Source organism: Homo sapiens, chromosome 19 (assembly GCF_000001405.40).
Source record: "Homo sapiens chromosome 19, GRCh38.p14 Primary Assembly".
NCBI classification, from domain to species: domain Eukaryota; kingdom Metazoa; phylum Chordata; class Mammalia; order Primates; family Hominidae; genus Homo; species Homo sapiens.
This window is the reverse complement of record NC_000019.10, coordinates 16,134,411-16,161,196: the sequence shown is the minus strand read 5'-3', so window position 1 is coordinate 16,161,196 and position 26,786 is coordinate 16,134,411. Positions and strand designations below refer to the sequence as shown.

At 51.8% G+C, this 26,786-nt stretch overlaps 1 protein-coding gene and 1 long non-coding RNA gene across 17 annotated transcripts in view, besides 10 other annotated features; one reads left to right on the top strand and one right to left on the bottom strand.

Annotated features, from left to right (window-relative positions):
* Positions 830–919: an enhancer, noted in NCBI's record as "active region_14215". NCBI's record gives its function as "activates an Ori minimal core promoter by ATAC-STARR-seq in GM12878 lymphoblastoid cells {active_cell/tissue: GM12878}" and the evidence as "EXISTENCE:reporter gene assay evidence [ECO:0000049][PMID:35858748]".
* HSH2D (hematopoietic SH2 domain containing) overlaps positions 2,622–26,786 on the bottom strand; it is a 24,548-nt gene continuing 383 nt past the window's right edge. The window contains exons 2-8 of one of the 15 annotated variants that reach the window (NR_163150.1): positions 19,104–19,256; positions 17,423–17,565; positions 12,322–12,473; positions 9,619–9,750; positions 7,989–8,645; positions 6,706–6,798; positions 2,622–3,987 (exon numbers count right to left, since the gene is read on the bottom strand). Coding sequence is in view for 6 of the 15 variants with exons in the window: in NM_032855.4 (NP_116244.1) it covers positions 3,403–3,987; positions 6,706–6,798; positions 7,989–8,154; positions 8,556–8,645; positions 12,322–12,446 (1,059 nt within the window). In the remaining 9 variants the exon portion in view is untranslated. Of the gene's footprint in view, positions 3,988–5,433; positions 5,556–6,534; positions 6,799–7,988; positions 8,646–9,618; positions 9,751–12,321; positions 12,474–17,422; positions 17,566–19,103; positions 19,257–26,786 lie in introns of those variants that run through there. The other 14 variants (NR_111903.1, NR_163155.1, NR_163152.1 and 11 more) reach the window with 14 other exon arrangements.
* Positions 2,931–3,220: an enhancer, noted in NCBI's record as "active region_14214". NCBI's record gives its function as "activates an Ori minimal core promoter by ATAC-STARR-seq in GM12878 lymphoblastoid cells {active_cell/tissue: GM12878}" and the evidence as "EXISTENCE:reporter gene assay evidence [ECO:0000049][PMID:35858748]".
* Positions 15,422–15,471: a silencer, noted in NCBI's record as "silent region_10291". NCBI's record gives its function as "represses an Ori minimal core promoter by ATAC-STARR-seq in GM12878 lymphoblastoid cells {active_cell/tissue: GM12878}" and the evidence as "EXISTENCE:reporter gene assay evidence [ECO:0000049][PMID:35858748]".
* Positions 17,110–17,159: an enhancer, noted in NCBI's record as "active region_14213". NCBI's record gives its function as "activates an Ori minimal core promoter by ATAC-STARR-seq in GM12878 lymphoblastoid cells {active_cell/tissue: GM12878}" and the evidence as "EXISTENCE:reporter gene assay evidence [ECO:0000049][PMID:35858748]".
* Positions 17,170–17,249: an enhancer, noted in NCBI's record as "active region_14212". NCBI's record gives its function as "activates an Ori minimal core promoter by ATAC-STARR-seq in GM12878 lymphoblastoid cells {active_cell/tissue: GM12878}" and the evidence as "EXISTENCE:reporter gene assay evidence [ECO:0000049][PMID:35858748]".
* Positions 17,377–18,071: an enhancer, noted in NCBI's record as "H3K27ac-H3K4me1 hESC enhancer chr19:16253936-16254630 (GRCh37/hg19 assembly coordinates)". NCBI's record gives its function as "activates a minimal SCP1, AML or CMV promoter by ChIP-STARR-seq in naive H9 embryonic stem cells {active_cell/tissue: H9 hESC(naive)}" and the evidence as "EXISTENCE:reporter gene assay evidence [ECO:0000049][PMID:30033119]".
* Positions 17,390–17,649: an enhancer, noted in NCBI's record as "active region_14211". NCBI's record gives its function as "activates an Ori minimal core promoter by ATAC-STARR-seq in GM12878 lymphoblastoid cells {active_cell/tissue: GM12878}" and the evidence as "EXISTENCE:reporter gene assay evidence [ECO:0000049][PMID:35858748]".
* Positions 17,730–17,889: an enhancer, noted in NCBI's record as "active region_14210". NCBI's record gives its function as "activates an Ori minimal core promoter by ATAC-STARR-seq in GM12878 lymphoblastoid cells {active_cell/tissue: GM12878}" and the evidence as "EXISTENCE:reporter gene assay evidence [ECO:0000049][PMID:35858748]".
* Positions 18,170–18,219: an enhancer, noted in NCBI's record as "active region_14209". NCBI's record gives its function as "activates an Ori minimal core promoter by ATAC-STARR-seq in GM12878 lymphoblastoid cells {active_cell/tissue: GM12878}" and the evidence as "EXISTENCE:reporter gene assay evidence [ECO:0000049][PMID:35858748]".
* Positions 19,642–19,711: an enhancer, noted in NCBI's record as "active region_14208". NCBI's record gives its function as "activates an Ori minimal core promoter by ATAC-STARR-seq in GM12878 lymphoblastoid cells {active_cell/tissue: GM12878}" and the evidence as "EXISTENCE:reporter gene assay evidence [ECO:0000049][PMID:35858748]".
* The window catches only part of HSH2D-AS1 (HSH2D and RAB8A antisense RNA 1), an 18,077-nt gene continuing 12,572 nt past the window's right edge, over positions 21,282–26,786 (top strand). For both annotated transcript variants that reach the window (NR_199155.1, NR_199156.1), the window contains exon 1: positions 21,282–21,462. This is a non-coding gene — a long non-coding RNA (HSH2D and RAB8A antisense RNA 1). The remainder of the gene's footprint in view (positions 21,463–26,786) is intronic.

Sequence of the window (26,786 nt, the reverse complement as noted above, 5' to 3'; positions counted from 1 at the left end):
AAGGCTGGAAATGCCTTGTTGTGGGTGTCCGTGGCGGAGGTGAGGTGGTGGGGAGATCGGGCCCGTGCTGTCCTACCCCAGGGTTCCCACTCTGAAGGCCAAACCTCACCCTTCACTACTCAAGTTTCTTTTTATCCCTCAAACCCTGAGTCATCAAAGGGATTGAAACTTTTCCTCCCGGGCTGACTCATTAGAGCTGCCAAGAGGAGACCACTGATTGGGAGGGGTGGAAATGTCATTCACTGAGGTGGCTGCTGCACTTTACAGTTTATGATGCATCTGCCCCCTAACGTGACACTGACCCCCTATAACATCCCTGCAGAGTTGGCCGAGGATCATGCCCTCATTTGGAGGGAGCAGAGTGACTTGCCTAAGGCCACCCCACAAGTCATTTGCAGGGGCGGGCTTGAACCCAGGTGCACCTCATACCAGATCCCAGATGTCTGAACCTTGTACATTTGGGGAACCCCACACCCCCTCCACCTGGGGTTGCCCCAGGGCCCCCATCTATGCCCCAGTCAGTCCAAGGAGTAGTCACTCCTGCAACCAAGACCAGCCCCTAGGGACCTTCCCAGACACCTCCATTGTACAGTATGTCATGTCTAGAGAGCTCACTCCCATCTTAACCCGCTAATAAATTAAGCAGCTACTGGGCTGGGCACGGTGGCTCAAGCCTGTAACCCCAGCATTTGGGAGGCCAAGGTGGGCAGATTGTCTGAGCCCAAGAATTTGAGACCAGCCTCAGCAACGTGGTGAAACCCTGTCTCTACCAAAAATACAAAAATTAGCTGGGTGTGGTGGTGCATGCCTGTAGTCCCAGCTACTTGGGAGGCTGAGGTGGGAGGATCGCTTGAGCCCAGGAAAGGGAAGTTGTAGTGACCAGAGATCGTGCTACTGCACTCCAGCCTGGGCAATAGAGCGAGACTCTGTCCAAAAAAAAAAAAAAAAAGGAGCCAGGCACAGTGGCTCACGCCTGTAATCCCAACACTTTGGGAGGCTGAGGCGGGTAGATCGCCTGAGCCCAGCAATTCGAGACCAGCCTGGGCAGCATGGTGAAACCCTGTCTCTACCAAAAATACAAAAAGTAACTGGATGTGGTGGTGCATTCCTGTAGTCCCAGCTACTCAGGAGGCTGAGGCAGGAGAATCAATTGAACCAGGAGGCAGAGGTTGCAGTGGACCGAGGTCGAACCACTGCACTCCAGCCTGGGCGACAGACCAAAACTCCTCCGTCTCAAAGAAAAAGAAAAAAAAAGAAAAACACCTACTGTGCACCAAAGTCCCAGGTTTTACATGCATTCTGCCAGTTCATCCTGAAGAGGGACTGCTCTTCTCATTTTCCAGGTAAGAAAGTAGGCCCAGAGATGTCTAGACTTGCCAAAGGTCACACAGCCCCACAACCTAGGATTCCCTCCAGAGCCCTCCACCATCATGGCCCTGTGATGCCTCCTCCGTCCCCAGCCTTTTTTTTTTTTGAGATGGAGTCTTGCTCTGTCACCCAGTCTGGAGTCTTGCTCTGTCACCCAGGCTGGAGTGCAGTGGCTTGGTCTTGGCTCACTGCAACCTCCGCCTCCCAGGTTCAAGCGATTCTCCTGCCTCAGTCTCCTGAGTAGCTGGGATTACAGGCGCAAGCCACCATGCCTGGCTAATTTTTGTAGTTTTTAGTAGAGACGGGGTTTCACCATGTTGGCCAGGCTGGTTTTGAACTCCTGACCTCAGGTGATCCACCTGCCTTGGCCTCCCAAAGTGCTGGGATTAGAGGTGTGAGCCACTGCGTCCGGCCAGCTTTTTCTTTCTTTTTTTTTTTTTTCTTTTCTGAGACAAGGTCTCTCTCTGTTGCTCAGGCTGAAGTGGGGTGATCATGACTCACTGCAGCCTTGAACTCCTGGGGTCAGATGATCCTCCCGTCTCAGCCTCCCAAATAGCTGGGACTACAGGTGTGTGCCACTACACCTGGCTAATTTTTTGAATTTTTGTAGATACGAGGCCTTGCCATGTTGCCCAGGCTGGTCTTGAAATCCTGGGCTTGAGCAATCCTCCCACCTCCCACCCTCCTCAAGTGCTGGGATTACAGGCATGAGCCACCACACACGGCTGCCTCTTCCCTTTTTTTTTTTTGAGACAGACTCTTCACTCTGTCACTCAAGCTGGAGTGCAGTGGTATGATCTTGGCTCACTGCAAGCTCCGCCTCCTGGGTTCACGCCATTCTCCTGCCTCAGCCTCCCGAGTAGCTGGGACTAAAGGTGCCCGCCACCACACCTGGCTAATTTTTTGTATTTTTAGTAGAGACGGGGTTTCACCGTGTTAGCCAGGATGGTCTCAATCTCCTGACCTCATGATCCACCTGCCTCGACCTCCCAAAGTGCTGGGATTACAGGTGTGAGCCACCACGCCCGGCTGCCTCTTCCCTTTTTAAAGGAAAGACGCTCATGTGCTTCTCCTGAAGCCAACACTGATGATGTCCAAGTGCCTACTGCACACCAGGCCCTCAACACAACTCGTCTCCTTCATCTGCATGAAAACCCCAGGAGGAAGGCATGAACAGCCAATGGTGCCGCTGGGGACACACTCGGAGTTGAGCCTGGACGAAGCTCCGGTTGGAGAGAGACCCTGCAGCGTGCTTTTATTTTTTAATTTCATTTTTATTTATTTATTTATTTTTTGAGATGGAGTCTCACTCTGTCATCCAGGCTGGACTGCAGTGATGCGATCTCGGCTCACTGCAACCTCTGCCTCCCGGGTTCAAGCAATTCTCCCGCCTCAGGCTCCCAAGTAGCTGGGATTACAGGCATGCGCCACCACGTCCGGGTAATTTTTGAATTTTTTAGTATAGACGGGGTTTCACCATGTTGGCCAGGCTGGTCTCGAACTCCTGACCTCAAGCGATCTGCCTGCCTCGGCCCCACAGAGTGCTGGGACTACAGGCATGAGCCACTGAGCCCGGCTTGCAGTGTGCTTTTAGACAACAGAACAAACAGATGATATGGGAAAAGGGCTCGGATTCACCTGGCTTCAAATCCTGGTGCTGACACCCATAGCTCTGTGGCCTTGGTCACGCCTCTTATCCTCTCTGAACCTCAGTCTCTTCTTCAAAACATGGAGGATGACCCTCCCTGAGGGCCTTGCTCTGAGGCGTAAAATAATGAATAGAAGGTCTGGCACTGGGGCTGATGTATAGCTGGTGCCCCAAACCATCAGCGTCACTCTGATGATTGTTGCTAAAATAACCAGCTCACCCCATGGGTGAGTGCAGGAACAGACCCCAAAAACATCTTTATTCCATTTCCCGGGTTCCCGAAGACCCCCGGATGCCATGGTGTGGGGCCATGGAAGAAATGTTAAGGCATTCAGGAGTGTGGCAGCCCCTGGCAGCGAGTCCCAGAGCCAGGGTGGACCTGTTCTCTAGCAGTACCCAGGGGCAAAGGGTGGCGGTTGTTGGTACTCCTCCGGGAGCTGGTCGTTCTCAGGCTCTGCCAAGCCCTGGTGCTCTGGCTTGGACTCCTGGGAGGATAGGGCTCTCACTACCATTTGGTGCCAACTCCTGTCCCCTGGGGTCACCTCAATGCAGCTGACCGACCTCTCGGCCTTCCTGGTGGGGACCTTTCTGTCTTTTGGTGCCTGGGGCTGTGAGGGGCTTTTGAGAGATGTGGCCACACAGGGATCCGTGTAGCCTCTGTCCCCCGAGGTGGGATCCCCTGAGTGATCTTGGCTGCCTTTTCCGGTCCCAGGGCCTGAGATCACCGTGGATCTCCGGACATCCAAGAGTGACGACAAGTTCACAGTGGCGAGGTGGCTTTTTAGCTGCTGCCGGACCCTCTGGCCTCTCTCGGGGAGCATTTTGAGGCTCCTCCAGAGTTTCTGGCGGGTCTCTCCAAGAGGGGATTTTGGGGGGCAGGAGGAAGTGGCTTCCTTGGTGGTTATTCTGTTCATCTCTGCTGACGGCTTCCTTTCCTTTGATTGGTGACACAGGACTGGCTTTGGGGAGGCCTGAAAATGAGAGTAGGGGAGGCCTGGGGCAGCTTGCCCACCAGAGCACCATGTCTGTCCCAGAAATTGGAGCCTGGGTTCCACCCAGACACCCTGTGGCTGAGAAACGTCCCCGTGTGAACCCCCAAACCTGATCCCATGCCCCATCTTTCTCGTCTCAGTAAATGGCTTCACTGTCTCCCCCAGGGGTTGGCAAACTTGTTCTTCTTCCTTTTTTTTTTTTTGAGATGGAGTTTCACTCTGTCGCCCAGTCTGGAGTGCAGTGGCACAATCTCGGCTCACTGCAACCTCCACCTCCTGGGTTCAAGCGATTCTCCTGCCTCAGCCTCCCAAGTAGCTAGAACCAAAAGCACACCACCACGCCTGGCTAATTTTTGTATTTTCAGTAGAGACATGGTTTCACCATGTTGGCCCTGGTGGTCTTGAACTCCTTACCTCAGGTGATCCACCCACCTCGGCCTCCCAGAGTGCTGGGATTACAGATGAGAGCCACCGCACCTGGCCTGGCAAACTTCTTTTACAAAGAGTCAGAGAGTAAATATTTCAACTTTGCAGGCTGTACCATCCGTCTCAATTATGTAGCTCTGCTGTTGTAGCGGATGCCAGAGGTCACACGTGAACCAATGAGCGTGCCTGGGTTCTAATATAGCTTTATTGATAAACATGGAAATATGAATTTTATCTGATTTTCACAGGTTACAAAATACTATCTTTACAAAAATGTGGGGCCAGGTGTGATAGCTCATGCCTGTAATCCCAGTGCTTTGGAAGGCTGAGGCAGGAGGATTTTTTGAGGCCAGGAGTTTGAGACCTGCCTGGGCAATGTAGTGAGACCCCATCTCTACAAATCTTTTTTTTTTTTGAGAGGGTCTTGCTTTGTCACCCAGGCTGGAGTGCAGTGGTGCAATCATGGCTCACTGCAGCCTCGACCTCCCAGGCTCAAGCAATCCTCCCACCTCAGCCCCCAGAGTAGCTGACTACAGGCGTGCGCCACCATGCCTGGCTAATTTTTTTATTTTTTGTGGAGACGGGCTTGCTGTGTTGCCCAGGCTGGTCTCAAAGTCCTGGCCTCAAGCAATCCTCTCCTCTCAGCCTCCCAAAGCACTGGGAATACAGGTGTGAGCCACTACGCAGACCAAATATCCATGTTTCTTTCCACACCTGGGCTCTCATTTTTGTCCCTCCCACCTTGACACTGTCCTCCACCCCCACCTCACTTCCTCCTTCTTTCCATCTCCACCAGTGCCCAGGAAAGCCCCTTCTGCAGCCAGTAGCCACAGGAAACATTTAAAACCACCAGTTCCGGCCAGGTGTGGTAGCTCACGCCTATAATCCCAGCACTTTGGGAGGCCGAGGTGAGCGGATCATGAGGTCAGGGGTTTGAGACCAGTCTGGCCAACATGGTGAAACCCCGTCTCTACTAAAAATACAAAAATTAGCACGCACCTGTAGTCCCAGCTACTCAGGAGGCTGAGGCAGGAGAATCGCTTGAACCTGGGAGGCGGAGGTTGCAGCGAGCCTAGACTGTGCCATTCCACTCCAGCTTGGTCGACAAAGCAAGACTCCGTCTCAAAAAAAAAAAAAAAAAAAGTCCTCCCATGCATACACTCTCCTTTGGCTCCTCCCTGGTGCAACTGGACTAGAATCCCAGCTCCTCACCTTGGCTCCAAGGCCCTGCACTATTGGCCCTTCCTGACCCTGGGGCTTCAACTTCTGACAATCTCTCTCTCACTAACCCCAATCCATCTATATGCTGGCTTTTTTTGTTCTGTTTTCCAAACACACCAAGCCCCAGGACTTTTGCAAGTGCCATTCCCGCTGCCTGGAATGTCCTCCCTGTGTCTGTGTGTATGACTGGCTCCTCCTCACCTTGCAGATCTCAGCTATAAGCCACCTCCTCTAGGAAGCCTTCCCTGACTGCCTTCCCCCACTTGCACCCCCCACCTCCACTGATGTCCATCACACCAGCCTGTTTCATTTGTACCACTGTCATAACTTCCCCTGCTGGGCAGGGGGCTTGGAGAGCACTTAGACTTCAACCTAGGGGTGCCTAAAGGTCTCCCAAACCCCAAGATGCTGTGATACATTCATTCATCTACTCCACAGATTCATTAGTTAAGCACCTTCAATATGGCAGGTCCTTTCAGAGGGGTGGGAGAAGCAAAGGCAAACAAGCCAGATGGAGTCTCCAGTCTCTCAGAGCTCACAGTCTGACTGGAAAGGCAGCCAGGGAGCATGTAAACCCATAAGTAAATAGGATTTTGAGGAACACTTTTGGGAAGTCCGCTGCAGTGAATAAACAGGGTAATGTGAAGGAGAATCCAGAAGGTGTTGCTTTAGGTCTGGGGCCTGGGGAAGGAGGCACTTGAAGGAGAAATGAATGAAGACATGGGAAATCTAGGGGCAGGGCACACAGTTTGTGCAAAGGACCTGAGGTGGGGCCGGCACACGCAGAGACCCCGAGGCTAGCTTGGTGTGTCTGAACAACAGACGGTATGGCAGCAGGGCTGGCGCTGGGTAGGTGACAGGCAGAAAGAGGACCTCAGATTGTAGTTTGAATTTTAATCTCGGTGTTGCAAAAGCACTGGAAAGGTTTAAAGCACCAAGCTGTAGGATCGCATTCTCATTCTAGAAGGAGCCTCCTCTGGAAGCTGTTGACCACCTCCACTCCTGCCCCTCAGCCAGGTGGGAGGTGCCAGCCTCCTGTCATATACATACCTCCTCAGGGGCAGACACCGGGCAGGCAGCTTCCTCGGCCACTGCGTTGGAGTAGAGGAAGAGATCCTCGTAATCCACGTTTGCGGGATCCTTCTGCAGGGCGGAAGGGGCCTGTAGCTCAGCACTAGGGAGGGGGAAAGGTCCTGCACGGACCCTGGAAGGCAGGTCTCAGGGACCATCCCTTGAATAGCAGTTTCTTAGTACCTAGGCCACGCCCACTAAGCGTTATAAGAAAATATGCCCCACCCACAGCCATTTCTTAGGGATTGGGACACACCCACTGAGCCTTCTAAAGAAAGATGCCCCGCCCATAGCACGTTCTTGGGAGCTAGGCCACACCCACTGAGCCTTCTAAGGAAAGATGCCCCGCCCACAACAGTTTCTTGGGCGCTAGGTCAGGCCCACTGAGTCCTATAAGGAAAGATGCCCCACCCACAGCAGTTTCTTGGGAGCTAGGCCACACCCACTGAGCCTTCTAAGGAAAGATGCCCCACCTACCACAATTTCTTGGGAGCTAGGCCAGGCACACCAAGCCCTATAAGGAAAGATGCCCTGCCCACAGCAGTTTCTTGGGGACTAGGCAACACCCACTGAGCCTTCTAAGGAAAGATGCCCCGCCCACAGCAGTTTATTGGGAGCTAGGCCACACCCACTGAGCCTTCTAAGGAGAGATAACCCCCCTCAGCAGTTTCTTAGGGGCTAGGCCACGCCCACTGGGCCTTCTAAGGAAACATGCCCTGCCCACAGCAGTTTATTGGGAGCCAGGCCACCCACTGAGCCTTCTAAGGAAAGCGTATTGGGAGCCAGGCCACGCCCACCGAGCTTCTAAGGAAAGATGCTCCACCCACAGCAGTTTATTGGGAGCCAGGCCACACCCACTGAGCCTTCTAAGGAAAGATGCTCCACCCACAGCAGTTTATTGGGAGCCAGGCCACACCCACTGAGCCTTCTAAGGAAAGCGTATTGGGAGCCAGGCCACGCCCACCGAGCCTTCTAAGGAAAGATGTCATTCCTTCAGATGAGCCAAGATTATACCTGGCACATGAACCCTTATAAAAAATCAGCCTGTTGACATGGGCCTGGAGGGCGGAGCCATGGGGAAGCAGGAACCACAACGGAGACCGCTGTGGGGGGCAGAGGGACTACTGGGGTGGGGCCGGAGGGGCCAAGGACCATGAGAGTGACAGAATCAAGAGGAGCTGATGGGGGCGTGGGAAACAAAGGGGTCTGGGGGGCTTGGCCCCAAGGAAATGGCTGTGAACCTTGTGGGTCCCCGCCCTCACCTGCCTGCAGGGCTGTGTCAGCAGCTCCCTGCGCGGCTCAATTGGCTTCTGCTGGTGGAAGGTGACCAGGGCGTCCAGCGAGGTGTGGGCCACCTTCTCCCCGGGGATCATGAAAGTCCCATCATCCAAGAGCTTCACCATGAAATGGCAGCAGCTGCTTTGGGCTCTGCGGAGACACTGCGGGGGCTGGGACATCCTACTCCCCCTCATCCCTGCCCCAAGTCCCCAGCCCTTGGGCCGGCAGCGTCACTGCTACAGCCAGACTACCCCAGGTTCCCATGCAGGCTTCTTCACTCACTGGCCATGCAACACCCAGCAGGTTACTAACCTCGCTGTGCCTCAGTTTCCCCCATTTATAACACAGGAGTACAAAGGCTGGCCTCAGATAAAACATGCCACTACGGACAAAAGCTTCACTCATTGCTTGGCTAGCAGCTCCCGTTCTCAGATCCACAGCCTCAGTTACTGCTGCTTTCTGAGAAGCTATGACATGAAGCACCCCTTGCCCCCTCCAAGGAAACCCAAGAGCCCACCTGCCCCTGCCCTGGATCCCGGCCCAGGCCTTACTTGTAGGAGAGTGTGTAGCCCACATGGCTGTGACTGACCCTGATGAGAAAGGATCCCAGTGGCTGTGACTCCAGCAAGTTCTCAGCATCCCTGGAAGGGCACACACAGAAAGGAAATGAAACAGTCCAGCCGCCCCACGTACCAGTTAGACTCCTGGGGCCATGGGATCATTCATGGAGAAGGCTGGTAGTTTTCATTTTTCTTTTTTCCTTTTTTTTTTTTTTGAGACAGAGTCTCGCTCTGTCCCCCCGGCTGGAGTGCAGTGGCGCGATCTCAACTTACTGCAAGCTCCGCCTCCCGGATTCACGCCATTCTCCTGCCTCAGCCTCCCAAGTAGCTGGGACCACAGGCGCCAGCCACCACGCCCGGCTAATTTTTTGTATATTTTAGTAGAGATGGGGTTTCACTGTGTTAGCCAGGATGGTCTCGATCTCCTGACCTCGTGATCCGCCCACCTCGGCCTCCCAAAGTGCTGGGATTATAGGTGTGAGCCACCGTGCCCGGCCTCTTTTTTCCTTTTTTTTTTTTTTTTTGTTGAGACAGAGTCTCGCTCTGTCTCCCAGGCTGAGTGCAATGGCGTGACCTTGGCTTACTGCAGCCTCAACCTCCTGGGTTCAGGTGATTCTCTTGCCTCAGCCTCCTGAGTAGCGGGGATTACAGGCGCCCGCCACCATGCCCAACTTTTTTTTTTTTTTTTTAGTAGAGACAGGGTTTCACCATGTTGGCCAGGCTGGTCTCAAACCCCTGTCCTCAAGTGATCCGCCTGCCTCAGCCTCCCAAAGTGCTGGGATTACAGGTGTGAGCCACTGTGCCCGGCCTGTTTTCTAAATGAACAAACACCCCAAACCCATCTTTTTTTTTTTTTTTTTTTTTTTTCAGCTGTGGCAGACCTTGGGCTATTCAGGGATTAGGGATGTTCCCCCCGAGGAGCTAGGAGGCGTCTGATGACCTTGATCTCAGGCCAGACCTCCTCCCATCTCCCACAGCCCCTTCCCAATGCCTGGAATCCCCCGATTAAGGCACCTTTGGGTGGATCAAGGTGTCACAAGTAACAAAGAAGGACCTGTATGCTCAGATGCATTCGAGTTCATAACCCAGCTCTACTGTCCATCAGCTGTGTGACCTCAGGCAATCGTCTCTCCCTTTCTGACCTTCAGCTTCCTCAAGGGGAGAGTAAACTCCACTTCCAAGGCTGCTGTGAGAACAGAAAGAACTTGCAACATAAGCATGACAGCTGCTACCTGGTAAGTGCTCCCAAAATGTTTGCTGTTATTATTACTATTATTCTCTCTCTCTCTCTTTTTTTTTTTTTTTTTGAGTTGGAGTTTTGCTTTTGTTGCCCAGGCTGGAGTGCAATGATGCAATCTTGGCTCACTGCAACCTCTGCCTCCCAGGTTCAAGCTATTCTCCTGCCTCAGCCTCCCAAGTAACTGGGATTACAGGTACCCGCAACCACGCCCAGCTAATTTTTTGTATTTTTAGTAGAGACGGGGTTTCACCATGTTTGCCAGGCTGGTCTCGAGCTCCTGACCTCTGGTGATCCGCCCGCCTCGGCCTCCCAAAGTGCTGGGATTACAGGCGTGAGCCACCGAAATCAGTCTATTTTCTATATTATTACCATTATTATCTGGAGTTCACAGAGAGGAAGGCCGCCTTCTGTGGGACAAGCTGGGGAGACTTTGGTCCTGCACTGTTCAATACAGAGGCCACTGGCCTTTTGTACTGATTTCCAAAACAACACAAAAAAGGAACATATGCTGTTTCATGAATTGTTTTTTGTTTTTGAGACAGGGTCTTACTCTATCACTCAGGCTGGAGTGCAGAGATGCAATCATAACTCACTGAAACCTTGAATTCCTGGGCTCAAGAGATCCTCCCACCTCAGCCTCCTGAGTAGCCAGAACCACAGGCATGTTCCACACGCCTGGCTAATTTTTTTAATTTTTTTTTTTTTTTGAGCTGGAATCTTGCTCTGTCACCCAGGCTGGAGTGCAGTGGCATGATCTCTGCCTGCAGGGTTCCAGCAAGTCTCCTGCCTCAGCCACCCGAGTAGCTGGGATTACAGGCACGTGCCACCGTGCCCAGTTAATTTTTTTTTTTTTGAGACGGAGTTTTACTCTTGTTGCTCAGCCTGGAGTGCAGTGGCACGACCTCAGCTCACTGCAATCTCCGCCTCCTGGGTTCAAGTGATTCTGCTGCCTCAGCCTCTCGAGTAGCTGGGATTACAGGCATGCGCCACCACGCCTGGCTAATTTTGTATTTTCAGTAGACACAAGGTTTCACCATGTTGTCCAGGCTGGTCTCAAACTCCTGACCTCAGGTGGTCTGCCAGCCTCGGCCTCCCAAAGTGCTGGGATTACAAGCATGAGCCACTGCACCCAGCCTAAAATTCCTTTTAGAGATGGAGTCTCACTATGTTGTCCAGGCCAGCCTTGAACTCCTGGGCTCAAGCGATCCTCCCGCCTCAGCATTCCAAGTAGCTGGGATTAAAGGTAAGTGCCAGTGCAGCCAGCTGCTTCTTTTAATATAACTACTAAAATTTTTTTAAATTGCAATGTGCAACTCATGTTATATTTCTGTTATTCAGCAAGGCCCCAGAGCTCAGAAACCATGACCAATACTACTTCCTCTCTGTGGCCTTCACAGAATTTTCTCAATTTCCTGCATGCAGAGAGTGGCCATAAATATTTTTTCCTCCATTTAGTTAGAGCCGGGCCCACATCCTCAGAGCTCACAGTCTGAGGTAGAAAGGGCACATTGGGGCCAGGCACGGTGGCTCATGCCTGTAATCCCAGCACTTTGGGAGGCCGAGGCCGGCAGATCACTTGAGGTCAGGAGTTTGAGACTAGCCTGGCCAACATGGTGAAACCTCGTCTCTACTAAAAATACAAATATTAGCCGGGTGCGGTGGTGCATGCCTGTAGTCCCAGCTACTCATGAGGCAGGAGGATTGCTTGAACCCAGGAGATAGAGGCTGCAGTGAGCCGAGATCGCGCCACTACACACCAGCCTGGGCAACAGGAGCGGAACTCTGTCTCAAAAAAAAAAAATAGAAAAAGAAAAAAAAAGAAAGGGCACATTGGTTGTATCCTGATGGGTTGAGAGCAGCTGCTTGGAGTACTGTGTTCAGAAAGATTCTGGCCGGGTGCGGTGGCTCACGCCTGTAATCCCAGCACTTCGGGAGGCCGAGGCGGGTGAATCACTTGAGGCCAGGAGTTTGAGACCAGCCTGGCCAACATGGTGAAACCCTATCTCTACTATAAACACAAAAATTAGTCAGGCTTGGTGGCATGTGCCTGTAATCCCAGCTACTTAGCAAGTTGAGGCGGAAGAATCACTTGAGTCCGGGAGGCAGAGGTTGCAGTGAGCCAAGATTGCACCACTGCACTCCAGCCTGGGTGACAGAGTGAGACCCTGTCTCAAAAAGAAAGAGAGAAAGATTCTGAGGCTGCATGCTGCCATCGTTGATTGGTAATGCTTGGCCTGGGCGAGGTGTGGGGTGCTGCCAGGTCCCTGGCAGTGCTGGTCTGTTGGCCACTTGTATAGAGAAAGCTGAGGCTCAGAGAGAGCAAGTAACTTGCCCCAGGTCACACAGTGAGCCCAAAGAGGTGGCAGGATTCAAGCCTGGGAGCCTGGAGCTCATTTTAGCCTCTTGCCACACTGAGCTGAGCCAAGTCCAGAATTCTGCAGTTAAAAGCTGCCCAGGGTAGGGACAGACAAGGACAGGGTGGGGAGGGCAGGGTGGAGGGTGTGGGTGTGTCCTCACTCTCTTGAGATTGCACCATGGAACCACTCGGGGACCCCGTCTTGGGCCAGCTGGCCCATCTGGGTGTGCACAAACCAGTCCAGCCGTGGGGGTAGCGGTAGGGGCAGCTTCCCGGCCTCTGTCATAGCTTCCTGGGGTGGAGGGAAGGTCACCTGGGTAGAGAAGGGAGGGAAGACAAGAATCAAGCTTGATGCACCTCTTATCTTTGCTCTATTCTTGAAGCTTGTGGTGCCTCCTCCTTTGAGAAGTCCTCCAGGGTGGACAGAGCAATGGACTTAAAACTGGCTTGTGGCTGGGTGTGACGGCTCACATGTGTAATCCCAGCACTTTGGGAGGCCAAGGTGGGAGGATTGCTTGAGCCCAGGAGTTCCAGACCAGCCTGGGCAACATAGTGAGACCCCCATCTCTACAAAAAATTAAAAAATTTGGCCAGGTGCGGTGGCTCACGCCTGTAATCTCAGCACTTTGGGAAGCCAAGGTGGGTAGATCACCTGAGGTCAGGAGTTTGAGACCAGCCCGGCCAACATCATGAAACCCTGTCTCTACTAAAAATACAAAAATTAGCTGGGTGTGGTGGTGGGCACTTGTAATCCCAGCTACTCCGGAGGCTGAGGCAGGAGAATCACTTGAACCCGGGGGGCAGAGGTTGCAGTGAGCCAAGATCATGCCACTGTGCTCCAGCCTGGGCGACAGAGTGAGACTCCTCAAAAAATAAATAAGCAAATAAATCAATAAAATAAAATTTAAAAATTAGCTGGGTGTGGTGGTGCATGCCTGTAGTCCCAGCTACTCAGGAGGCTGAGGTGGGAGGATCCCTTGAGCTCAGGAGGATATGGCTGCAGTGAGCTGTGGTTGTGCCACTGCACTCCAGCCTGGGGAACAGAGCAAGACCATGTTTCAAAAACAACAACAACAAAAAACTGGCTTGTGTGGCTGGGCGTGGTGGCTCACGCCTGTAATCCTAGCACTTTGGGAGGCCAAGGCAGGTGGATTACCTGAGATCAGGAGTTCAAGACCAGCCTGGGCCACGTGGTGAAACCCTGTCACTACAAAAATACAAAAATGAGCTGGGCACAGCGGCCTGTGCCTATAATCACAGCTACTTGGGAGGCTGAGGCACGAGAATCACTTGACCCCAGGAGGCGGAGGCTGCAGTGAGCCGAGATTGCACCACTGCACTCCAGCCTGGGCAACAGAGTGAGACTCCGTCTCAAAACAAAACAAAACAAAACAAAACAAAAAAAAAACCACTGGCTTGTGATTTTTTGGGCACCTACTATGTGCCTGATAGTTTTTACACATTCATTCATTGGCTCATCCCCAAAGGCCTTCAAGGACTTTTCCTTTTATTCTTCTTATGCCATTGTGTTTTTTTTCTTTTTTTTTTTTTTTGAGACAGGGTCTCACTCTGTCACCCAGGCTGGAGTGCAGTGGCCCCATCTTGGCTCACTGCAGCCTCGACCTTCTTCCCTCAAGTGATTCTCCCACCTCAGTCCCCCAAGTAGCTGGGACCACAGGCATGTGCCACCACGCCTGGCTAATTTTTGTATTTTTGTAGAGATGGGGTTTCACCTTGCTGCCCACATTGGTCTCAAACTCCTGGACTCAAGAAATCCACCTGTGTCAGCCTCCCAAAGTGCTAGCATTACAGGTGTGAGCCATTGTGCCCAGCCTTTTATGCCATTATTGCAAGGACTAGAAAGTTCATTTTATAAATAAATGTTTTGAAATTTAAGAATAGAGTATTTAGAGCTGGGCATGGTGGTTCACGCCTGTAATCCCAGCACTTTGGGAGGCTGAGGCAGGTGGATCACCTGAGGTCAGGAGTTCGAGGCCAGCCTGGCCAACATGGTGAAACCCCATCTCTACTAAAAATACAAAAATTAGCCAGATGAGGTGGTGGGTGCCTGTAATCCCAGCTACTCAGGAGGCTGAGGCAGGAGAATTGCTAGAACTCAGGAGGCAGAGGTTGCAGTGAGCCAAGATCGCGCCATTGCACTCCAGCCTGGGGGGCAGAGTGAGACTCCATCTCAAAAAAAAAAAAAAGAGTAGAGTATTTAAATATTAAGTAAATATCAAGGCCCCTGGAGGAATAAGGAAATGACAAAATGGCAAGTGAACGAAATAAACAGCTGACCCAACGGTGGTGGTCAAAAAGGGTTGCCCTGATTTCTTTCTTTCTTTTTTTTTGAGACAGGGTTTCCCTCTGTTCCTGAGGCTGGAGTGTGCAATGGTGCAATCACAGCTCATGCTCACTGCAGCCTCAACCTCCTAGGCTCAAGCAATCCTCCCACTTCAACCTCCTGAGTAGTTGGGACTACAGGCATGCAGTACCATGCCTGGCTAATTTTGAAAATTTTTTTGTAGAAACAGGGTCTTGCTCTGTTGTCCAGTCTGGCTTTGAACTCCTGGGCTCAAGCAATCCTAACACCTCAGCCTCCCAACATACTGGGATCACAGGCATGAGCCACAGTGCCTGGCTGCCTTGGTTTCATTAAACACCAGAGAAATGTGGCTTCAGACAGTCACTTCTGCCACCAACGTCACTACACGTTGTAGCCACTCATGGCACACCTACGATATGTCAGATGCATCATTAATTCACACACTTTCTTGACAATTTTAAGCAAGCGGTACCATGGGACTTTGTGTACCAATGACAGAGCTGGAGAGAGAAAGCAGCACCGTTTTGCAAAACATTATTAAGTGAGTGTAAGACAAGCCAAAGGATTGTATCTTGCTAGATAGTTCCTTCAGGACCCCTCTTGCTCACCCTTAATTCTTTTTTTTTTTTTTTTTTGAGATGGAATCTCGCTCTGTTGCCCAGGCTGGAGTGCAGTGGCGCGATCTCAGCTCACTGCAACTTCCGCCTCCCAGGTTCAAGTGATTCTCCTGCCTTAGCCTCTTGAATAGCTGGGATTACAGGCATGTGCCACCACGCCTGGATCATTTTTGTATTTTTAGCAGGGATGGGGTTTCACCATGTTGGCCAGGCTGGTCTCCAAATCCTGACCTCAAGTGATCCACCCACCTTGGCCTCCCAAAGTGCTGGGATTACAGGCGTGAGCCACTGCGCCCGGCCACTCACCATAAATTCTGTCCTTAAACTGGAGCTCACTCCCTCCACCCATTGGCCCCATCTAATGTTTCAATATCTCAAAAGATCTTTTTACTGGGCTGTCTCTATGAGGAGGCGGGGTCTGTTGACCAATGGCAGTCAATATTGACTTTCTCCAACCAGATGTCAAGCATACCCTCTGGGGTATGGCCTGAGGGAATTCTGGGGCAACCAAAATTAAATAACTGTATTAAGAAATGTTTAATAAAGCAGGGTGACAAAATGATTAAGAGCCTGGAATTGGAGGCTGGGTGCAGTAGCTCACACCTGTAATCCCAGCACTGTCAGAGCCTGAGGCAGGCGGATTGCCTGAGGCTGGGAGTTTGAGACCAGCCTGGCCAACATGGTGAAACCCCATCTCTAATAAAAAGACAATCATTATCTGGGCAAGGTGGCTCACCCCTGTAATCCCAGCTACTCAGGAGGCTGAGGCAGGAGAATTGCGTGAATCTGGGAGGCGGAGGTTGCAGTGAGCTGAGATCGAGCCACTGCACTCCAGCCTGGGCAACAGAGCAAGACTCCATCTCAAAATAAATAAATATGAAATAAAAATACAAAACTTACAGTGGCATGTGCCTGTAGTCTCAGCTACTCAGGAGGCTGAGGCAGGAGAATCATCTGAACTCGGGAGGCAGAGTTTGCAGTGAGCCAAGATCGCACCACTGCACTCCAGCCTGAGCAACAGAGCGAAACTCTGTCTCACAAAAAAAAAAAAAAAAACCCCAAAAAAAAAACCCATCACCACCAACAACAAAAAAAGAGCCTGGGACAGGTGCGGTGGCTCATGCCTGTAATCTCAGCACTTTGGGAGGCTGAGGCAGGCAGATCACGAGGTCAGGAGATTGAGACCATCCTGGCTAACATGGTGAAACCCCGTCTCTACTAAAAATACGAAAAATTAGCTGGGTGTGGTGGCGGGCGCCTGTAGTCTCAGCTACTTGGGAGGCTGAGGCAGGAGAATGGCGTGAACTCGGGAGGCAGAGCTTGCAGTGAGCTGAGATCGAGCCACTGCACTCCAGCCTGGGCGACAGAGCAAGACTCCGTCTCAAAAAAAAAAAAAAAAAAAAAAAAGAGCCTAGAATTCGACCCAGATGGCCTGGGTTCAAACCCTAGCTCGCCCACTTAGCCGCTGTGTGACCTCAGATAAGTCACTTAATGGCTCTCTGTCCCTGTATTTCTGTCTTTAATTTGGGAATAATGATATTTACCTAGGAAAGTTTAGCTAGCACTGTGTATATATAGAGATATATATACAATATTCATGAATCCAGTTGTGACCTATCATGGGGTAATGTTTACAGGCTTATTCTTTTTTTTTACTTGGAAGAGCTCCTATTTATCCTTCAAAACCCAGTAAAAATGTCCCCTCCTCCAGGCAGCTTTCCTGCATCTCCCCCCAGACAACACCCTGGCACCCCTCTCTGTCCCCAACGTTCCCCCCTGTTCCTCTCTCTGGTCCAGCCATGACTCCATGGAGCTAGAGTGTCTTTATCTTGCTCTGTCTCCACCAGCCTGAGGGCCTCCTAGGGATCAGGGCTTAGGGCTAGGTTCCTGTGTTGTTGTTTTTTTCTGTGTCCTGGTGCTGGCCTGGCACAGAGGAGGGTGCAAGGGTCTTTGCTGGTGAACAGCTATCTAGTGATGAAAGACCGCATGCTCAAATTCAAGCTCCTGACCCTGGCCTGGGAGCCTCCTCTACTTCCCCGCTACCCACATTCTAGACCTAAAGACATCCTTGCTCTCTCTCTCTTGCCTCTCCATACCTTTGCTCATGCTGTTGTCTTGCCAAGACCCCCTTTTCCCTAACTCCAGCTCCATTTTCCATTTGTGGTCACCACAAATACCCCCTCCTCCACGAAGCTCTCCCCCATGCCCCTAGAAAATCCCTCCTGCCACCCCAGGCCCCACTAGCCCTGTCCCTCCTTCTGGCCTAGCCCAGCCCCCACGTTCTGTCTCCTCGAGGGCTGAGGCTCTTGGGTCACATACCTGGGAGACCCTTGGATGGCCGAGGCCCTCGCTGTAGCTGTGCCAGTGCCTGCAGGAGCCTGGGTTTCGATTCAAGGTCTGCACGTCAATGGGGCGGGGCTGGCTGCCCCGAGGCAGTTCCTGTTTCCTCAAGCAGGTGAGCCCTGGGGGCGGAACAAGGACAGCTCAAGTCACCCTGTCTGCAGTCCAACAAAGCATCTGGTGCCACAGGTGCAGAGACAGCTTGCTCCTGTCTTGCCCCCAGCAAGTTGTTATTGAGCACCTACTGTGTGCCTGCTGTTTGGAGGACACAGGGGTGACACGGAGACAGGTGCAGGCCCCCTGACTCCTGGCATCTATAATCTATCAAGCAGTGAAGAGGAGTGAGACATCATTACAAAGGGAGAACGGGGAACGGGTGCGGTGGCTCACACCTGCAATCCCAGCACTTTGACAGGCTGAGGCAGGCGGATCACTTGAGGTCAGGAGTTTGAGACCAGCCTGGCAAACATGGCAAAACCCCGTCTCTATTAAAATACGAAAATCAGCCGGGTGTGGCGGCGCACGCCTGTAATCCCAGCTACTCAGGAGGCTGAGGCACAAGAATTGCTTGAACCCGGGAGGCGGAGGTTGCAGTGAGCAGAGATCGCACCATTGCACTCCAGCCTGGGCAACGGAGTGAGACTCCTTCTCAAAACAAAAACAAAAGCAACAAAGGGGGAACAGAAACTGGGCGCGGTGGCTCACGCCTGTAATCCCAGCACTTTGGGAGGCCGAGGCGGGTGGATCATTTGAGGCCAGGAGTTTGAGACCAGGCTGGCCAACATGGTAAAACCCTGTCTCTACTAAAAATACAAAAATTAGGCGTGGTGGCGGGTGCCTGTAATCCCAGCTACTCAGGAGGCTGATGCAAGAGAATCGCTTGGACCAGGGACGCAGAGGCTGCAGTGAGCCGAGATCACGCCACTGCACTTTAGCCTGGATGACAGAGGGAAATTCTGTCCCCCGCAAAACAAACAAACAAAAAAACACCAGCTGGGTGCGGTGGCTCATGCCTGTAATCCCAGCACTTTGGGAGGCCAAGGTGGGCAGATCATTTGAGGTCAGGAGTTCGCGACCAGCCTGACCAACATGGAGAAATCCCGTCTCTACTAAAACTGCAAAATTAGCCCGGCGTGGTGACACATGCCTGTAATCCCAGCTATTTGGGAGGCTGAGGCAGGAGAATCGCTTGAACCCGGGAGGTGGAGGTTGCGGTTTGCTGAGATCTCACCACTGCACTCCAGCCTGGGCAGCGAGAGTGTAACTCCGTCTCAAACAAAACAAAACCAACGAAAACCAAACAAAACAAAACAAAAAAACAAAAAACCCCAAACAAACAAAAAAATCCAAAGGGGAAACAGGAAGTGGGAACAGCAGTTGCACAAACCCACAGAGGTGACCTAACTGACGTGAAGGAAGGGGCATTTGAGGGTGAGAAGGAATCATCTTGATTTGGGGAGTGCGTAGTGCAGAAAGAGTATATTTTTTTGTAGAGATGGGGTCTTGCTATATTGCCCAGGCTGGGGGAGGGAAGAGCAGGCACAAAGGCCTTGAAACTGAATTGAGCCTGGACAGGCTGGGGTCTCATGGCACGCATAGGTCCACACCAGGACTTCCTCCATTATAAAATATTTTAAAATATTTTTATTAATTGACTAACCTATTTTAGAGACAGAGTTTCACTCTGTCACTCAGGCTGGAGTGCAGTGGTATGATCATAGCTCACTGCAGTCTTGAACTGCTGGACTCAAGTGATCCTCCTGCCTCAGGCTCCCAAGTAGCTGGGACTACAGGCACACACCACCACACCTGACTAATTAAAAAAATATTTTTTTTGGAGATGGGATCTTGCTGTGTTGCCCAGGCTGGTCTCAAACTCCTGGGGCTCAAGCGATCCGCCCACCTTGGTTCAAGTGACTCTCCTGCCTCAGCCTCCTGAGTAGCTGGGATTAGAGGTGCCCACCAACACGCCTGGCTAATGTTTGTATTTTTAGTAGAGACAAGGTTTCACTATGTTGGCCAGGCTGGTCTCAAACTCCTGACCTCAGGTGATCCACCCGCCTCAGCCTCCCAAAGTGCTGGGATTACAGGTGTGGGCCGCCGTGCCAGCTTAAAATTCTATTTTACAACTGTGTTGGCATTAAGACCGATGTGGTCCAGGCTGGATTCCTTATTGTATATTTATTATTAGGATGTTCAGTTTTTTTTCTTCTGATTTTAAATAAGCTGAAGCCCTTTGGGAAGTCCCACACAGCACTTGGGTCCTGGGTGCAGGCCCTGTGTGCCTAACAGATTGGCCAGCTCTGGCCGTGTGCTCGTACCCCAGGCAGACAAACAAAACTACTTCCTCCTCTCCTTTCAGGCAGAAAGGGCCCAGATCCTACTGGGGGCCTCCCCAAGGGCCTATTGCCCTGGCCCAGCTGGGCTAGATAACCCCAGGCTCACCCTGGGTGCCTCTCTCACCCCCCTGCTCCTCCTCGGCAACAGCAGCACCTCGTCTGCCCTCTGTGGTCAACAAGGTCTAAGCAGGAGACACGTGGAGCCCTGCTTCTCACTCACCTGCTGTGTGTCCTAAGGTGAGTTGCTCAGCCTCTCTGAGCCTCAGTTCTGCATCTGTGCAATGGGCATAATAGCCCTCCTTAATCATGTGAAGATGCTAGGAGAGGCAACTCTCCAGCACAGCACATGGAGATGAGTTGGGAGTGAGAGAATCAGGACTCTTTGTTGTGACTTAATTCAAGCAAGGCCTTTGTGTTTGCCTGGGGGAGACTCTGGCTTGGGCCTCAGACCTCATGGGCTGAGCTGCCTTGGGCAACTCACTTCACCTCTCTGTGGCTAATCTCTTTTTCTTCTTCTTTTTTTTTTGAGTAGGGTCCCCTCACTCTGTTGCCCAGGCTGGAGTGCAGTGGTGCAGTCTCAGCTCACCACAGCCTCTACTTCCTGGGCTCAAGTGATCCTCCCATCTCAGCCTCCTGAGTAGCTGGGACTACAGGAGCACCACCACCACGCCTGGCTAATTTTTGGATTTTTGAAGAGATGGGGTTTTGTCATGTTGCCAGGTTGGTCTCGTTCAAGTGATCCTCCCGCCTCAGCCTCCCAAAGTGTTAGGATTACAGGTGTCAGCTGCTGCATCTGGCCTTTTTATTTTTGAGATGATGTCTTGTTCTATCGCCCCGGCTGGAGTACAGTGGTGCGATCTTGGCTCACTGCAACCTCCACCTCCCGGGTTCAAGCGATTCTCCTGCCTCAGTCTCCCCAGTAGCTGAGATTATAAGTGTGCACCACCACTCCTGGCTAATTTTTATATTTTTAGTAGAGACAGGGTTTCACCATGTTGGCCAGGTTGGTCTTGAACTCCTGACCTCAAGTGGTCTGCCCACCTTGGCCTCCCAAAGTGCTGGGATTATAGGCCTGAAGTATTTATTTATTTATTTTTATTTTTTATTTTTTTGAGACAGGATCTTGTTCTGTTGCCCAGGCTGGAGTGCAGTGGTGCAAGTACAACTCACTGCAGCCTCAAACTCCTGGCCTCAAGCGATCTACCTGCCTGGACTTCCCAAAGTGCTGGCATTACAGGCATGAGCCACCGGGCCTGGCCTTCACTTCACTTCACTTCTCTGATCCTCCTGGGAAAGTCTGACCATCGGGGCTCTTATTTGCATGGGGTTTAGAGTTTCCAGGAACATGGGGGTACGCTGGCCCAGCTCTAGCACAGTCCCCTAAGACCTCACCACAAACGGCCCAACCTCGCTTCCCCTGACCTGCTTGGGTGATGTGGTCTCCCACAAACTAACGTCTTCCTTTCAGATGTCGCAACAGAATCACCCCCACACCCCTCAGTGTCCGCAGGCCTCGGCCCGCAAACGGACATGCGTCCCCCAGAGGAAGGAAGGGTGTGGAGGGGAAAACGAAGGTGCCCTGATGGGGAGATAACGGGGCTAGAATTCCAAGGCCCCCTCTCTCTGATACCAGGTTCTCCAGGGAGACAGATCTGGGCTTCTCAGCAGAGGCCGCAGCTGGTAAGTGGGCCATTCACAGATTCACGTGGGGTGGCTCTTGGGGGAGGTGGCCACAATGCCATCTTAGTGCTGGGAAAATGCTGGGCCCATACATGTCAGGGAGTGGGGAAGCCCTTAGGCTCTGCCAACACTGGGTTTGATGCGATTCTTTTTAGAGACAAGGTCTCACTCTGTTGCCCAGGCTGAAGTGCACTGTGCCATCATAGCTCCCTGCAACCTCAAACTCCCGGGCTCAAGTGATCCTCCCGCCTCAGCCTCCCAAGTAGCTGCAATCACAAGCTCACACCACCATGCCCGGTTAATTTTTCAATTTTTATTTTGTAGACAGGGTCTTGCTGTGTTGCCCAGGATGGTCTAGAACGCCTGAGCTCAAGCAATCCTCACACCCCAGCCTCCCAGTGTTGGGATTATAGGCATGAGCCACTGTGCCCAACCCTGGACTTGATGTAATTTTATGATTTTAGCTTCCTACAATGCCTTCATTCTATTCATTCATTGATTTCACAAACACTGGCTGAGCCCCAGCTCTGGATGGGCACCATGCTAGATGCTGCAGATGAAGCAGAAGGCAAGATCGGGCCGGGTGCTGTGGCTTATGCCTGTAATCCCAGCTCTTCGGGAGGCCGAGGTGGGCAGATCACCTGAGGTCAGGAGTTCAAGACCAGCCTGGCCAACATGGGGAAACCCTGTCTATACTAAAAACACAAAAATTAGTTGGGCGTAGTGGCTCATGCCTGTAATCCCAGATACTCAGGAGGCTGAGGCAGAAGAATTGCTTGAACTGGGAGATGGAGGTTGCAGTGAGCTGAGATCATGCCACTGCACTCCAGCCTGGGTCACAGAGTGAGACTGTGTCTCAAAAAAAAAAGGCAAGATTGGCATGGTCCCCACCCTTCTAGGGCCCACAGTCTATGAGGAGACAGATGCTGAATGAGTTCACATGCAGGACAGTCAGGCAGAAAAGAAAATAGCAAGGGCAGGCTGGGTGCGGTGGCTCAAACCTGTAATCCCAGCACTTTGGGAGACTGAGGCAGGCAGATCATGAAGTCAAGGGATCGAGACCAGCCTGGCCAACATGGTGAAACCCTGTCTCTACCAAAAATACAAAAATTAGCTGGGCATGGTGGCGCACGCCTGTAGTCCCAGCTACTCGGGAGGCTGAGGCAGAAGAATCGCTTGAACCCGGGAGGCGGAGGGTGCAGTGAGCTGAGATCTTGCCACTGCACTCCAGCCTGGGCAACAGAGCGAGACTCCATCTCAAACAAACAAACAAAATCAGCACGGGCAAAGGCCCTGTGGTAGGAAAGAACTTGGTATGTCTGAGGCACAGATGATGACAGCTAAGGTGTCCAAACGGTGGAAACAACCCAAATGTCCATGAATGAATGAATGGGTAAACAAAACGTGGTTCCATCATCCACACCATGAAATATGATTCAGCCACAGAAAGGAAGGAAGCACTGCTCCATGCTACAATGTGGATGAGCCCCAAAAACATGATGCTGAGAGAAGCCAGACACAAAGGCCACCTAGTGCATGATTCCATTGATATGAAATGTCCAGAACTGGCTGGACACGGTGGCTCACACCTGTAATTCTAGCACTTTGGGAGGCCAAGGTGGGTGGATCACCTGAGGTCAAGAGTTTGAGACTAGCCTGGCCAACATGGTGAAACTCCATCTCTACTAAAAATACAAAAATTAGCCAGGCGTGGTGGCGGGACCTGTAATCCCAGCTACTCGGGAGGCTGAGGCATGAGAATTGCTTGAACCCAGGAGGCAGAAGTTGCAGTGAGCCAAGATTGCACCACTGCACTTTTCTTGGGGAACAAGATGAACAATGGTGGTCATAGTAATAACAGGGTGGGTGTGGTGGCTCACACCTGTAATCCCAACACTTTGGGAGGCTGAGGTGGGAGGATCACTTGAGGCCAGTTCAAGACCAGCCTGGGCAGTGAGACACCATCTCTACAAAAAAGTAAAACAATTAGTTGGGTGTGGTGGTATGCACCTGTAGTACCAGCTACTTGGGAGGCTAAGGCAGGAGGATCACTTGAGCCTGGGAGGTTGAGGCTGCAGTGAGCCATGATCCCACCACTGCACTCCAGCCTGGGCAACAGAGCAAGACCCTGCTTCTTTTTTTCTTTTTTTTTTTTTTTGAGACGGAGTCTCGCTCTGTTGCCCAGGCTGGAGTGCAGTGGCATGATCTAGGTTCATTGCAACCTCCGCCTCCCTGGTTCAAGTGATTTCTGGCTAATTTTTGTATTTTTAGTAGAGACGGGGTTTCACCATATTGGCCAGGCTGGTCTCGAACTCCTGACCTCAAGTGATCCACCCACGTCGGCCTCCCAAAGTGCTGGGATTATAGGTGTGAGCTACCGCGCCCGGCCGGATGACCCTGCTTTAAAATAATGATAATGATGATGATGACAGTGATGAGGACAGTGATGATGCTGATATCAGCCTATTCTGTCTCTGTGCTCATTATGTATGTACCTGTGCCTCCTCTGGGATCCATCATCTCCCTGGCTCTTCATAGCCATCCTATGAGGTGGAAACTATGATCCCCCCTATTTTGCAAGAGAGGAAACTAAGTTCAGTTGTTGAGGGCATGTGTCCAAGGCTGTGCCATTGAAACGGCCTCATCTGGGGTAGATACCCGAGATTTGTCATCTCATGGCCATGGAGAACAAGGACGTGGACACACAAGAGTGAGGTTAAGAGAAGCTTAATAGGCAAAAGAAAGAGAAGAGTTCCCTCCTGCAGAGAGAGGTCCTGAAAAAATGCATTGACAGATGCACAGTGAAATGCAGGGGATTTTATAGATGCCTGGTGAGGAGGCAGTGTTTGATTTACATAAGGCGTGAAAGATTGGTTGGACTAGGTGTTATATTTGCATAGGGTGTGAAAAACTGGTTAGGACTAGGTGTGCCATTTGCATCGGGTGTGAATTTCTGGCCACCCCTAATCTTTTATCATGCAAGCGGGTCCTCTGCCTGAGCTGTGCCATGTTGCCCATCCCTTTACTGTACACGTGGTAATAAAAACAGGGAAGATGGAGTCTCCACGTTGGTCTTGCCTGGCACCCAGGCAACTGTTTTCTATTGACGCAGCTGCTGGCATTTCCCCGTGCAAGCTTCTAGCTCGCTTATCTATGTCTGCAGCTCGATTTCTCAGACTGCTTTTTGTTAGAAAAAATAATTTCTTGGGCTGCTTTTTGTTAGAAAAGAAATTCCGCCAAGGACTCTGGTGCCCTCACTATCTGCCTAAATAATTTCTTTCTAGCTCCTCTATCACCGTGGGTCTTGAGTGGTGCTGGGATTCGGGCCCAGGCAGCTCCCTCTTATCCGTGACCCATTAAGGGCTCAGAAGAAAGCCAGGCACAGGATGGGTTCCCAGTCAGGATCTGCTATTCATTGCCATTGGCTGTCACTGTCTCCGAATTTTGCAGTTTTGGACAGAAACTGCAAAGTTTCGTGGAAAGAAAGCAAGTTTCCCAAAGTGGCCATTTATCAGGCATCCGTGGCAGGGGGTGACTTTTGAGTTTTAGTATCAGGATTCAGGGTCCTCCTGAGTGCGTGCTCGGAGGCTCAAGGATAGAGATGACAGAGATTTTGATGGGAGCTAAGCCAGGGACCACCAGGGCAGGCCTCTAGCATGGTCAGGTGGGAAGGGAGTTTGTGGCTGGGGGTTCCCAAACCCACTGAGTTTGCAATGCCTGGGGAGCTGCCCCCTAGGCTGCAGAGGCTGCAGGATCAACCCTGGAAGCTGGTTTCTTTGAGGGAAGAGGATGTCTCCTCCCTTGTGCTCACCCTAGAGGCCATTTGCGTGTCCTTCATTAATTCAATGGGTTCAGGCCACACACAAGCACACTACAGAAGTCCCTGTCCTCATGGAGGTTTTGGGCTGAGTGGGGACAGGGTTGGCAATGAAAACAGGTAACTTCTCATAAATGCTATGAAGATGAGCTAGGAAGAGAGAAGGGCATGACTGGGAGAGGCCTCTGCAGAGGTAGCCCTGGATAACCATGATGTGATGGACAGTGGGCTTTGCACATTTCAGGAGACTACAAGACTAGGGTGTGGCAAGTGCAAAGGCCCTGGGGCCTTCTCAGTGATGAGTGTGGAGTGAAGGAGTAAGGAAGGAGAGGATTGGAGTGGAGTGAGCCAGGAAGGGCAGCCAGAGAAAGAGGAAGGAGTAGGCAGGGCTATGGCTGCAGCGTGTAGAGGCTTGTGCCCCACGGTGAGGGGCGTAAGTTGTATCCCTAAGCCCAAGGAAGACCTGGGGAGGTTTTTTGTTTTTTTTTTGAGAAAGGGTCTTGCTCTGTCACCCAGGCTGGAATGTAGTGGTGTGGTCACAGCTCACTGCAGCCTCCAACTCCTGGGCTCAAGTGATCCTCCCTCCTCAGCCTCCTGAGTAGCTGGGACTACAGGTGCATGCCACCATACTATTTTTTATTTTTTTGAGACGGAGTCTTGCTCTGTCACCCAGGCTAGAGTGCAGTGGCGCAATCTCGGCTTACTGCAACCTCTGCCTCCCAGGTTCAAGCGATTCTCCTGCCTCAGCCTCCTGAGTAGTTGGGACTACAGGCGCGTGCAACCATGCCTAATTTTTGTATTTTTAGTAAAGATGGGGTTTTGCCATATTGGCCAGGCTGGTCTTGAACTCTGAACTCCTGACCTCAGGTGAACCACCCACCTCGGCCTCCCAAAGTGCTGGGATGAGGCATGCGCCACTGCACCCGGCCAATTTTTGTACTTTTTTTTTTTTTTTTTTAGAGATGGGGTCTCACTATGTTGTCCAGGATGGTCTTTAACTTGAACTGGCCTCAAGCTATTCCCCTGCCTCTGCCTCTCAAGGCACTGGGATTATAGGCATAAGCCACACACCCCAGCCCCTGGGGAGAGCTTTAAGCAAGGAGGTGACACTGATTTCAGTTTCGTAAGGACACTCTGAAAATAGTTTGAAACACAGAGGTGAGGACCTGAAACCCATGAGGAAGTGGTCACAGAGGTCCAGGTGGTCGTGGCTACAACTCGGGAGGGGTCAGCTGTGGGCACGATGGGGAAGGCAGGGATGGAGTCCAGGGTCAGGGCTGTGTTATGCTTACGGTGCCGATGAGACATTCAAATTGGAATAGAGAGTGGCAGGTGAAACCGACCTGGGTCTGGCCTGGATTTGCAGCTTGAAAGCCACTGGCCTATCTAAAAGCATAGTGTGTGCAGAAAAGAATGAATAGATCTGAGGCTGCTTCCTGAGAAAGGCCTGCTGGCAAGGTGGGCCTGCAGTTGGTAAAGTTCCCTACGGATATTAAAACTTCCCTAC